The sequence below is a fragment of the Homo sapiens genome, chromosome 21, assembly GCF_000001405.40.
Source record: "Homo sapiens chromosome 21, GRCh38.p14 Primary Assembly".
Lineage (NCBI taxonomy): Eukaryota > Metazoa > Chordata > Mammalia > Primates > Hominidae > Homo > Homo sapiens.
In genome coordinates, this window is record NC_000021.9 from 10563623 (window position 1) to 10577719 (window position 14097).

At 39.0% G+C, this 14097-nt stretch overlaps 1 protein-coding gene and 2 pseudogenes across 4 annotated transcripts in view; all 3 read left to right on the forward strand.

Moving 5' to 3' along the window:
* Positions 1 to 14097, forward strand: part of TPTE (transmembrane phosphatase with tensin homology) — an 84134-nt gene that overhangs the window by 42040 nt on the left and 27997 nt on the right. For all 4 annotated transcript variants that reach the window (NM_199261.4, NM_199259.4, NM_199260.4 and 1 more), the window contains 5 exons: positions 4048 to 4167; positions 5815 to 5914; positions 6061 to 6124; positions 6863 to 6927; positions 13838 to 13898. In NM_199261.4, the coding sequence (NP_954870.3) occupies positions 4048 to 4167; positions 5815 to 5914; positions 6061 to 6124; positions 6863 to 6927; positions 13838 to 13898 (410 nt within the window). The remainder of the gene's footprint in view (positions 1 to 4047; positions 4168 to 5814; positions 5915 to 6060; positions 6125 to 6862; positions 6928 to 13837; positions 13899 to 14097) is intronic.
* On the forward strand, positions 4485 to 4581 carry LOC124905063 (uncharacterized; annotated as a pseudogene).
* On the forward strand, positions 12668 to 12860 carry CYCSP41 (CYCS pseudogene 41; annotated as a pseudogene).

Here is a 14097-nt window from a genome sequence, read left to right on the forward strand (position 1 = left end):
AAACCAAAAAATATAACAATGGATACACGAAAAATAAAAAACAAGAAACTAAATCATATCACCAGAGAAAATTACCTTCACTAATGAAAGACAGGAAGGAAAGAAGGAAGAGAAGACCCCAAAACAACCAGAAAACAGATAACAAAATGGCAGGAGTAAGTCCTTACTTATCAGTAATAACATTGAATGTCAGTAGACTAAACTTTTCAATCAAAAGATAGAGTGGATGAATGGATGAAAGAACAAGACCCATCCAGGTGTGGTGGCTCACGCCTGTAATCCCAGCAGTTTGGGAGGCCAAGGCAGGCAGATCATGAGGTCAAGAGCTACAGACCATCCTGGCAAACATGGTGAAACCCTGTCTTTACTAAAAATGCAAAAATTAGCAGGGTGTGGTGGTGCGCACCCGTAGTCCCAGCTACTCAGGAGGCTGAGGCAGGAGAATCACTTGAACCCGGGAGGCAGAGGTTGCAGTGAGCCGAGATGGTGCCACTGCACTCCAGTCTGGTGACAGAGCAAGACTCCAGCTCAAAAATAAATAAAATAAAAAAACCCATTGCTCTGTTGCCTACAGGAAACACTCTTCTCCCATAAAGACACATGTAGGCTGGAAGTGGTGGCTCACTCCCATAATCCCAGCACTTTGGGAGGCAGAGGCGGGTGGTTTACTGGAGGTCAGGAGTTCGAGACCAGCCTGGCCAATATGGTGAAACCCTGTCTCTACTAAAAATACAAAAATTAGCTGGGTGTGGTGCCGGGCACCTGTAATTTCAGCTACTCATGAGGCCGAGGCCGGAGAATCACTTGAACCTGGGAGGCAGAGGTTGCAGTGAGCTGAGATCACACCACTGCACTCTAGCCTGGGTGACAGAGTGAGATTCAGTCTCAAAAAGAATAAAAATAAAAACAAACCCAAAAACCAAAACCAAAACCAAAAACATGCTAATATATCTGATAAATATTGATGCAAAAATCCTCAACAAGATACTAGAAAACTGAATTCAACAATATATGGGAAAGATCACTCATCATGACAAGTGGGATGTGTCTCTGGGATGCAAGGATGGTTCAACATTTGTAAATCAATCAATGCGATACATTATATCCACACAGTAAAGGATAAAAACCATAAGATCATTTCAGTTGATGCTGAAAAAGCATTTGATAAAATTCAACATCCCTTCATGGTAAACACCCTAAAAAAACTGGGTATAGAAGTAACATACCTCAACTTAATAAAAACCATATATGACAGACCCACAGTCATTACCGTACTGAATGGGGAAAAAATGAAAAGCTTTTCTCTGCGATCTAGAACACAATGAGGATGCCCACTTTTACCACCGTTGTTCAACATAGTACCGGAAGTCCTAGCTAGAGCCATTATGGAAGAGAAAGAAAGGGAATAAAAAAAGAAATCCAAATTGGGATGGAAGAAGTAAAATTATCCCTGTGTTTGCAGATGATACATTTTATTTGGAAAATACTAAAGACTCCACCAAAAAAAACTATTAGAATTGATAAATTCAGTAAAGTTGCAGGATACAAAATCAATATACAAAAATCAGTAGCATTTCTATATGTCAACAGTGAACCATTTGGAAAGGACATTTAAAAAGTGGTCCTATATACAATAGCCACAAATAAGATTAAATACCTAGAAATTAACCTAACCAAAGAAGTGTAAGATCTTTATAATGAAAATGATAAAACACTGATGAAAGAAATTGAAGAGGACACCAAAAAATGGAAGGAGATTCCATGTTCATGGATTGGAAGAATCAATATTGTTAAAATGTCCATACTCTCCAAAGCAATTTACAGATTCAATGCACTCCCTGTCAAAATATGAATGACATTCTTCACAGAAATAGAAGAAACAATCTTAAAATTTATATGGAGCCACAAAAGACCCAGAATAGCCAAAGCTATTCTAAGCAAAAAGAACAAAGCTGGAGGAATCACATTACCTGACTTCAAATTATACTACAGAACTATATAACCAAAACACCATGGCACTGGCATAAAAACAGACACACAGACCACTGGAATAGAATAGAGAACCCAGAAACAAATCCACACACACTTACAGTGAACTCATTTTTCATAAATGTGCCAAGAACGTACATTGAACAAAAGACATCTCTTCAACAAATGGTTCTGGGAAAACTGGATATACACATACAGAAGAATGCACCTAGACCCCTACCTCTCACCATATACAAAAATCAAATCAACATGAATTAAAGACTTAAATCTAAGACCTCAATGAAACAACTATACTACAAGAGAACATTGGGAAGAATCTCCAGGACATTGGTCTGAGCAAAAATTACTTGGGCTATACCTGACAAGCACAGGCTACCAAAGCAAAAATGGGCAAATGGGATCACATCAAGTTAAAAAACTGCTTCATAGCAGAGGAAACGATTAGCAAAGTGAAGAGACAGTCCACAGAATGGGAGAAAATATTTGCAAACTACCCATCTGAAAAGGGATTAATAACCAGAATATGTAAGGAGCTCAAACAACTCTCTAGGAAAAAATCTAATAATCTAATCTTTTAAATGATAAGATTTGAATAGGCATTTCTCAAAATATACAGATGGTAAACAGGCATATCAAGAGATGCTTGACATGATTGATCATTAGAGAAATTCTCAGTGTAGAAAACTACCATGAGATATCATCTCACCCCAGCTAAAATGGTTTATATCCAAAAGTCAGGCAATAACAAATCCTGACAAAGATGTGAAGATAAGAGAACCCTCATACACTGTTCATGGAAATGTAAATTAGTAGAACCAATTGGAGAACAGTTTGGAGGTTACTCAAAAAACTAAAAATAGAACTACCATATGATCCAGCAATCCCACTGCTGGGTAGATACCCACAAAAAAGGAAATCACTATATAGAAGAGATATCTGCATTCCCTTTTTGTTGCAGCACTGTTCATAATGGCTAAGATTTGGAAGCAACCTAAGTGCCCATCAAGAGATGAATGGGTAAAGAAAATATAGTACATATACACAAGAGAGTATTATTTAGCCATAAAAAAACAATAAGAACCCGGCCAAGTGCACTGGCTCATGCCTGTAATCACAGCACTTTGGGAGGCTGAGGTGGGCAGATCACCTGAAGTCGGGAGTTCGAGACCAGCCTGACCAACATGGAGAAACCCCATCTCTACTAAAAATACAAAAATTAGCTGGGTGTGGTGCCGGGCACCTGTAATCCCAGCTACTCGTGAGGCTGAGGCAGGAGAATCGCTTGAACCCAGGAGGTGGAGGTTGCAGTGAGCCGAGATCACGCCATTGCACTCCAGCCTGGGCAACAAGAGTGAAACTCCATCTCAAAAAAAAAAAAAAAAAATACTGTCATTTGGAACAACATGGATGGAACTGGAGATCACTATGTTTGTTAAGTGAAATAAGCCAGGCACAGAAGGATAAACATCACATGTTCTCACTTACTATGGGGCTCTAAAAAAAAAAAAAAAAAATTGAACTCATAGACCTAGAGAGTAGATGGATGGTCATCAGAGGCTAGGAATGGTAGTAGGGGCTTGGGGGTGGGGAGATGGGGATGGTTAATGGGTACAAAAAAATAGAATGAGTAACGCCTACTATTTGATAGCACAACAGATTGACCATAGTCAACAATAACTTGATTGTATATTTTTAAATGACTGAAAGAGTGTAATTGGATTGTTTGTAACATGAATGATAAATGCTTGAGGGGATAGATACCCCATTGTCCACAATGAGGGTGATTATTACGCATTTAGTTATATCTCTTATTATGTTTGAATTGCCATGTTGGTGTTTTAGTCACATATAAGTGTCAAATGATGAATATAATTTTATTGTTTGAAAACTTCCCATGAATGTTATATTTTTCCCTTAGTCTACTCTAGAAAATACATTTTAAATAATTCATGATAGTAGAATTCTTAATGGGGATGAGTCAATAGTTTGTGGTCTTTAAATATTCCTATCTCTTCTTGCAGGGGGGAATGAACTTATTTTTTTTGTTTTATATTACAGGAGACAGCAGTATTTTTCTGACTTATTTAACATTTTAGATACTGCCATTATTGTGATTCTTCTGCTGGTTGATGTCGTTTACATTTTTTTTGACATTAAGTTGCTTAGGAATATTCCCAGGTATGAAACATAAGACTTACCTCTCTTAAAGTTTTTCATTAATTTTAGCATTTTCTGTGCCTTTTATTCTATATAATCTTTTCAACTTCAAATGTTCTCATTCTATACCAAATACATTGCTTTAAAATGAAATGTTTAGGTAAATTCCCACATACTTTGAAACTAAAAGATTGTGATATTTAGGGACCGGTGAAGAGTATACAGGCTAAGTACCATTAATGGAATAAAGAAGATGCAGTACCCCAAAGAAGGACTTTTACTCTTGTACTAACTTTAACTTCTCTACATTTTGAAGTTCTCGTCAAATTCCCATTTGTATCATTTTTTGGCCTTTTGGCTAAGATCAAGTATAATATTCTTATCAGTTTAATATCTGCTATATCAAAAAAATTTATATTGAAAACAATTCCCCTCTGTGCTTCAACTACAAATCCCTTACACATAATGTTCTGTCTGGATTTTTCCTACAGCCAAGAGGGAATTTATTTGAGCATATGCAAAATTAGAGTGACTTCAATCATGAGTTTCTAAAAAATAGCAAACAGAACAGAAACTAGGAGATGACACGTGGCAACACAATAGTAGAGTTTTGCAGTATAGTTGTGGTAGAAACAAAGAAAGCAGGCAAAGTTAGAAGTGGGATTGGGAAACTAAAGAGTATATGAAGCCCTGGTGACTCTTTTTTTACTGTGACAAGGAGGAAAATGAAAGAGCAAATGTATACTGGGATGTAGATGGTGGCTTCCTAAGCTTGTTCATGGGTCAAATAGCTGATTTCTTTTTGTACCCTAGCTTCCCTGGACTACAGCTCAGGCCCCAACTAAAAGCATGTTAAGTGATAGGCTTTTGGAGTTATTTGAAAATAACCTCAGCCAATGTGGTCCTCTGACTAGAAACGTCAGCATCACTTGACAGCTTGCTAGAAATATAAGAAGAAAAATACCTTAGGCCCCACCCTGGACCCACTGAATCAGTATCTCTGGGACCCAGCAATCTGCAGCTTAACAAGCTTTTCCAGGTGGCTCTTATTGATGTGTGCCCAAATCAGAGAAGCACTAGTCCAGACCATCAGTTCTCTGCTTCAGTGGTTCTGATGGTAGGGGAGATTCCAGCTAGCACACTTCGGAAGTATCTCAATCTGTTGCCTCCCTGATGTGTAGTAGCAGCTGTAGTGAACATCTGTTACTCATGGGAATAACAAAGATGAACAAGAATAATCGATTTGTTTTGATGTGGAAAAAATTGAAAATGCTAGTCTTAAATCCCAAAATTAAATTTACAGATGCTAAGAGTCTATTGTATCACTATTTCTCTAGACCAGAATTTCTCAGCCTCAGCATTACTGACATTTTGGGCCAGATGATTGTCATAAGAGGGTGGTGAGCAGTTATATTAATTGTAGGGTGTTTAGCAAAATTCCTGGCCTCTATTCACTAGATGTAAGTAACACACAGACACACACACACATGCACGCACGCCAGTGGTGAAAACCTAAATGCCTCCAGACATTGCCAAATATCCCCCAGGTAGGTAATTGGGGAGAGGAGGGAAAATTGCCTCTGGTTAACAACTGCTGCTCTAGACATAGTTTATATTGATAAAATTTTGTTTCTGAAGCAAAAATGGATCGTTTAAATTTATTCTTAGATGGACACATTTACTTCGACTTCTACGACTTATTATTCTGTTAAGAATTTTTCATCTGTTTCATCAAAAAAGACAACTTGAAAAGCTGATAAGAAGGCGGGTAAGTGGGCAAAACATGCTTATGATTCACAAAAATATTTTGTGTTTTGGGACCCATTGACAAGGGTTGATATCTATACTGTATAATGTTTTTTATTTTTATGTTGATGAGTGTTTCACAAACTAATGACGATTTTAAACTGTCAGGTTTCAGAAAACAAAAGGCGATACACAAGGGATGGATTTGACCTAGACCTCACTTACGTTACAGGTTTGTGACACTTAACCGTTGATTTACTTGTATTACTTCACTTTTTCTTGTAATTGTATTTTTTTTTGCCTCATCTAAGACACATTCATTCAAAATATTCTTTATTCATGAGGATATATGCTACTGTGATAGTGTGACATATTTGTGGTTTAGCCCTGGCAATGGAAGATCTACATGTCTTCTCAATTCAAGACTACTCAGTTGCAGCATAGGAACTTGAATGGATTTTCAGCTGACTCCATTTGAGTTTCAATTTATTAACCTCTAGTAGTTATTTCTGAGTCCCAGGGATCCCATGGAGACCTCTTCTTATCCTAGAATCCCAGAGAATGAGGTCAGTGCTTTGTAGATCTCAGGTTTTCTGAGTCAGAGGGCTGCAAAGCACCTTGGGAGTTCCCACCATCACTGGTGCCCAGAAATCTTGGATTTTCTCTGGTATTTAAGATAAGAAATAAATTCTAAGAACAGGGGGAACTTCAGACTGAGGCCATCATAAATACATGGCATACAGTTAGAACTAGTGGAGACTTAAGAACTCCATGGCAGTTTAATGGTCATTGTGTTGGATAATTTAATATGTTATTTGATTATCCTGAGTATTAGCTCTTTTCTGTCAACCTCAATCTTAAAAGGTTTTTTTTCTGTGAAAATGGAATCTGATCATGTATAAATTAATTTTTTTGTATGTTGTATGAAATCTATAATAATGTTTGTAATAGTGATGATTTTGACTTTTAGAACGTATTATTGCTATGTCATTTCCATCTTCTGGAAGGCAGTCTTTCTATAGAAATCCAATCAAGGTAAGGGTCTTTATCTGACAAATACTCATTTCTTAGTGAATGTAGACTGTGTAGTCATAAGTTTAATACTGACCCAGATATGGCAGTATTCTTTTAAAAATGTACTCTTTCAAGGAAAAAAAATCATAATGGATTGATACCAGTTACAGTTGTGCCAGTGGTTACAAACCACCCCAAAACTTACTGGCTTATAACAGCAACTATTTATTTGGCTCATGATACTGTGGTATGTGAATTTGGTATGGGCTTAACTGTCCAATTTAGGTGCTTGCAGAAAGGATTTCCTGTCTCAACTAAGCTCATTCATGTATCTGTGGGCAGCTACTGGGTCATCTGAGGACTGGTTTAGTCTAAAATGACTTGGCTACCCTCGACTGAAAGAGCCACTGCATGCTAAATGCACCCCCCAAGGCCCAAGGCCCATCCCATCTGGCACCCACTGCTGCCAACAGCCCCACCCCCTTCACCAGCAGAGCCACCATTTGCCTCATGCACTTCTAAGGCACTGAGGACTGGCCTGCCTGGTGCCCGCCCTGCTGTTGGCAATACCCCATAACTAGCAAAGCCACTGCAGCTAGCATGCATATGCCTAAGGCCTGAGAACTAATCTGAATGATGGCTCTCACAACAAGAAAAGCCATACCACTGTCTCCACAAACACTCACCATCAGGCCACTGAGGCACTCACAGACACCACTGAATGCTGATTACAGCCAAAAAAGTCACCTGAAGACTATATTACTGCACCCACCCAGAACCAAAGTCAAAGCACCCTACTCAATGAACACTATAGGAGACAACTATTGGAAAAAGTATTTCTCTGTGAAAGCTCCCTAACATTGGAAGAGGCAACTGTTCTCCCAGATGTGCAAAAATCAGTTTAGGGCCATAAGAAACGTGAAAAGCAAGGAAACATTACACCTCCAAAGAAACACCATAATTCCCCATTAACAGACCCTAAATTTAAAGAGTATATCAAATGGCTAAGAAGGAATTCAAAATAATGATCTTAAGGAAACTATGAGATACAGAGAATTCAGATAGACAAATCAATGAAATTAGAAAAACAATTTATGATCTTATGAGAAATTCAACAAGGATATATATATCATTAAAAACCAGACAGAGATTGTGGAGCTGAAGAATTTAAGGAATAAAATAAAAATACAATCAAGAGTCCAGGTGAAGTGGTTCACACCTGTTATCCCAGCACTTTGAGAGGCCAAGGCAGTGGATTACTTGAGGCCAGGAGTTCAAGACAAGCCTGATTAACACGGCGAAATCCTGTCTCTAAAAAATACAAAAATTAGTTGGGTTTGGTGGTGCATGCCTGCCATCCAAGCTACTTGGGAGGCTGAGACATGAGAATTGCTTGAATCCAGGAGGTGGAGGTTGCAGTGAGCCAAGATTGTGCCACTGCACTCCAGCCTGGGTGGCAGAGTGATACCCTGTCTCAAAAAAAAAAAAAAAATACAATCAAGAGCTTTAAAAACAGACATGGGAGAGATATGGCCAAAATCTAGGAAGCTCAAAGGTTCTCAAATAGATTCAACCCAAAAAAGGTCTTCTCTGAGGTGCATAGTAGTCAAACTGTCAAAAGTCAAAAAGAGGGAATATTCATCAGGTGCGGTGTCTCACACCTGTAATCCCAGCACTTTGGGAGGCTGAGGCGGGTGGATCACTTGAGGCCAGGAGTTCAAGGCGAGCATGGCCAACATGAAGAAACCGCATTTCTACTAATAATACAAAAAAATTACCTGGGTGTGGTGGCGTGAACCTGTAGTTCCAGTTACTTGGGAGGCTGAATCACGAGAATTGCTTAAACCCAGGAGGTGGAGGTTGCAGTGGGCCAAGATCATACCACTGCACTACTGCCTGGGTGACAGAGCGAGACTGTATCCAAAAAAAAAAAAAAAAAAAAAAGGAAATGTTAAAAACAGCAAGAAAAAAGCATCAAGTCACATATAAGGGAAACTCCATTTGATTAGCAGTAGATTTCCCAGTGGAAACTTTACAGGTCAGTAGACAATAAGATGGGATGATATATTCAAAGTACCGAAGGAAAAAAAAAACAACTGTCAACCAAGAATACGATACCTAGTAGAGCTATCCCCTAGAAATGAGGGAGAAATAAAGTATTTCCTAGACAAGCACAAACTGAAGGAATTCATTCCCACTAGACTGACCTTACAAGGACTGCTTTAGGTGGTTCTACATCTGGAAGCAAGAGGATGATTACCATTGTCAAAAACACAAACGTGTAAAACTCACCTGTAGTGCAGATATACACATGAGAAAGAGAAAGGAATCAAACTTTGTCACTACAGAAAGTGACCAAACCACAAAGATTAAAAAAAAAAGGTGAAGAAAAGAACAAAGGATATACAAAACAACCAGAAAAAAATGAACAAAATGACAGGATAAAGCCTCATCTATTAATAGTAACCTTGAATGTAATGTAAACAGATCAAATTCCCAATTAAAAGATATAGAGTTGGCTGCCAAGATTTAAAAAAAAAAAAAAGACCCAACTGTATGCTGCCTACAAGAAACTAACTTCACCTGTAAAGGATCATACAGACTGGAAGTGAAGGGATAGAAGAAAATATTCCAGGCAAACAGAAAACAAAAGCGAGCAGAGGTAGCCATACTTATCAGATAAAAACAGACTTTAAGTCAAACTGTATGAAGAGACAAAGAAGGTCATTTTATAATAATAAAGAGATCAACTTAGCAATAAGATATAATAATTGTAAATATGTATGTACCCTACACTAGAGCACTCAGATAAACAAGGCAAATATTTTTAGGTCTAAAGGGAAAGATAGACTCCAATGCAGTAACAGTTGGGGCCTTTAGCACCCCACTCTTAACCACTGGACAGATCATCTAGACAGAAAATCAACAAAGAAATATCAGATTTAAGCTTACAGATAGGAATAAGTTCTGGTGTTCTGTAGTGCTGTAGGGTGACTACAGTTAACAATAATTTATTGTATATTTTTAAATAGAGAGGATGTTGAGTGCCCCCAACACAAAGAATGATAAATATTTGAGGTGATAGATATGCTGATTATCCTGATTTGATCATTACACATTGTATACAAGTATTGAGATATCCCTCTCTACCTTATAAATATGAACAAGTATTATGTGTCAATTAAAAATATTTTTAAAGAATGAAGGAAACAGATTTTTTAAATGAAAGGAAAGAAAATTACCTGACTTGGCTGAATGGCCCCATGTGGTCTCTCATTCTCCAGTAGGCTACTTCAGGCCTGTTCACATGATGGCAGAGGCAAGAGTCCGAGGAGCGGCAACAAAACAATGCAAATCCTCTTCAGGCCCAGGCTCAAAATTATATATTAATTCTACCCCATTTTATTGGACAATGCAAATTACACTACCAGTCTGGATTCAAGGAGTAGAAAATAAACTCCAACTCTTGATGGAAGGAATTATAAAGAATTGTGGCCGTTTTTGATAGTCTACCATAGGGAAGAAAGATGGGGATGCCATAACCCAAAATGTGTTTTCTTAGGTTGAGATCCTAAATTATAGTCGGGGCATATTGCTTTAGGCTCTGTGGATGACTAAATTAATTTCAAACATATAATGCTGTTTACTGTGAAATGCCAGCTGAAAGGATCATTGTTTAATTTTATGTAATTTACAATACTTATTATACCTCAATAAAAATATAACTATCGAGGGCTGGTATCAGTTGCCGAGAGGTGGAAGGAGTACCTCTCTGCAGTGTGTTAGCTCAGTTCTGAACAGGACAGGGCTGCAAGTTCAGCTACTTCCCAGAAAATGTCCTGGATACCTGGCCTGAGTCATCATCCCATGACTAGAGAACGTGGACGGATTATTTTATCAAGAAACTAGTGATAAACCAAGGGCTATAGGAATTAAGAACTAGGGCTAAAAAAGAAATGTTTAGAGTGATGCAAGATGGCCAATTAGAAGCAGCTGCAGTCTGCCGCGCTCACAAAGAGGAATGAAAAGGGGCGAGGGAATTCAGCACCTTCAACTGAGATAACCAGGTTCTCACATTGGGACTGACTGGATGAACAGGTCGACCAATGGAGAATGAAGATAAGCAGGCAGAGGGTGCGATGGCCCAGCCGGGGGCGGCATGGAGCCAAAGGAACCCCCACTCCCAGCCAAGGGAAGCAGTGAGTGAGTGTGCAGTCCTGCCCGGGAAACCGTGTTTCTCTCATGGATCTTTGCAAGCCGTGGATCAAGAGATCCCCTTGTGAGCCCATGCCACCAGGGCTGTGGATCTGATACACAGACCTGTATGGAGTCTGGGCACATCAGCTGCTCAGGCACACACAGAAACCCAGGAGTTTTACACACTCTAGCCCCGGGGATCTTCAGCACAGTGGGAAATCTGTCCATACGTATCTCTGGGAAGGGGGCTGAATCCAGGGAGCCAGGCAGCATCATTCTGCAGGCCCCGTTTCCTTGGCACCTCACAAGTTAAGACCCACTGGCTTGGAATCCTAGCCTGCCAACAGCAGCAGGTTGGAATCCACCTCAGATGGGTCTGAGTTCCCGGGGAGGTGGCGAGAGGCAGCCAGCATCACTGTGGTTCATAGACTCAGCCACTCCAGCCTGCCAGCTATGGAGAATACAGACAGTCTGGACAAGGAAGAGTTCCCCACGACACAGCACAGCTGGCTTGCCAGATCATGACCAGACTGCCTCTTTAAGCAGGACCCCAATCAATTCCTCCTCACTGGGCAGGAATCCCTGTAGGGGCTTTAACCACTCCAGCAGCGGTTCTATGGACAGAGCTTTGATCTCTCCCTGAAATGGAGCTCCTGGTGGGAGGGGCAGCTGCCACCTCTGCAGTTTGGTCAACTCAGCCATTCCAACCTGCTGGCTTTGGAGAATACAGGTGGTCTGGAGGAGGAAGGATCCCCCACAGTGCAGCACACCTGCTCTACCCCAAAGCAGCCAGACTGCTTTTTTGGATGGGTCCCTGATCCCATGCCTCCTGACTGGGTGAGAATGCCCAACAGGGGTCTCCAGCCACCTCTTGCAGGTATGTGCGGGCTGGATACAGGTCAGTATCCCCCTGGGATGGAGCTTCCAAAGGAAGGAGCTGGCTGCCATCTTTGCTGTTTCTCAGCCTTCACTGGTAATATCTCCTTCAGAGTCTATGAGGAACTTAAATTTACAAGAAAAACACAACCCCATTAAAAAGTGGGCAGAGGATCTGAACAGACACTTCCCAAAAGAGACATGCATGCAGTCAACAAAAATATGAAAAAAAAAAACTCAACATCACTGATCATTAAAGAAATGCAAACAAAACCACAATGAGATACCATCTCATGCCAGTCAGAATGGCTACTATTAAAAAGCCAAAAAATAACATGCTGGGAAGGTTGCAGAGACAAAGAAATGCTGTTGGTGGGTGTGTAAATTAGTTCAACCCATGTGGAAGACAGTGTGGCAATTCCTCAAAGACCTAGAGGCAGAAATACCATCAGACCCAGCAATCCCATTATGGGGTATATACCCAAAGGAATATAAATCATTGTCTTATAAAAATACATGCATGCACACATATGTTCATTGCAGCAGTATTCACAAGAGCAAAGACATGGAATCAACCTAAATGCCAGTCGATGATAGATTAGATAAAGAAAATATGGTACATAGAGCGGGACATCTGGCTTCTGAGCGGGAACCTTTGTAGTGCCAGTGATGAAAGAGAGAATTAAATATGGGTGATGCTGAGAAAGGCAAGAAAATTTTTGTTCAGAAGTGTGCCCAGTGCCACACCGCGGAAAAGGGAAGCAAGCACAAGACTGAGCCTAGTCTCCATGGTCTCTTCAGGTGGAAGACAGGTCAGGCCATTGGATTATCTTAACATAGAGATTGATAAGAACAAAGCCATCACCTGGGGGGAGGATACACCTGAAGTATATAAAACTATTTATCCTTGCCTCCCCCACTATGCAGATTCAGAGTGTTCATCTTTTTGACTTATTATTTCCTCTTAACAGAGATAGCCAGTTTAATAAATGGATGACTTTGATACCTTCATTTTATTTTTCTCAATATTAAGCCAGTAAACATTGCTCTGAGGGTACCATACTAATCAGTTTTAAAATTTTGTGTCATTTTTGTTGTTGCACAGAGATATATACGTATGTGTGTGTATGTTTCAGAAAGATGTATTTACTGAAAGTTGGATTCATATAGTGGTATTGATTGTATTTTAAATTATAACTACTATTTGTTTTTCATTTTAAAGGTTATACATATATACATATATATATATATATATATATATATATATATATATATAGACACACACTTTATAGGTACACATATATCTTCATTTAAAAAAATAAAGAGAACAAATGAGCCAAAAAAGTCTCCATATTGTTACCAGTTATTTAAAATTTGATATGTTTATCTTTTTCTATCACACATACACACAATCATACTATATGCTTTTTGCATTTGTTTACATAGTGCTTAGATAGACTGTAATATGCAGATCACTCTCTAAAGATGTATCTATTCAGAATTAAATAAGAACGAATATGAATTAGATTTAAACAAGATCCATATTAACTGTGAATTAATGATTTAGAACAAATTACTTAAAGTTAGTTAACCAGCTAATTTACTTATCTGATAGCTTTAAACAGTGTGCATTTACAATAGAGACTCATCTGAGTAGCCAAACATACTTGTGGACTATTTGAAAAATCACAGTGGATTAGAACTTGAAGTTTGCATACCCTCTTATTCCCTGAATCTCCACTAGAAGATGCTAGTGAGAGACAAATTAATAAAAGTAATAACCATTTTAGGTTCCCCCTAGGAAATAGCTTATGTTGGTGCCATGTAAATATGTAAGATATGTGTTTGTCTTTTTTAGGAAGTTGTGCGGTTTCTAGATAAGAAACACCGAAACCACTATCGAGTCTACAATCTATGCAGTATGTACATTACTCTATATTGTGCTACTGTAGATAGAAAACAGATTACTGCACGTAAGAAGATGATTTTGTTTTTTAGATTGCATTTAATCATAAGTATTTGGTAGTGGCAAGGAATGAATTTAAAAATCCCCATCTTGGACTGGCCCCATTTAGTAGAAGGAGTTAGCCCAGCAGCACAAAGTACCGTATGAAGGAT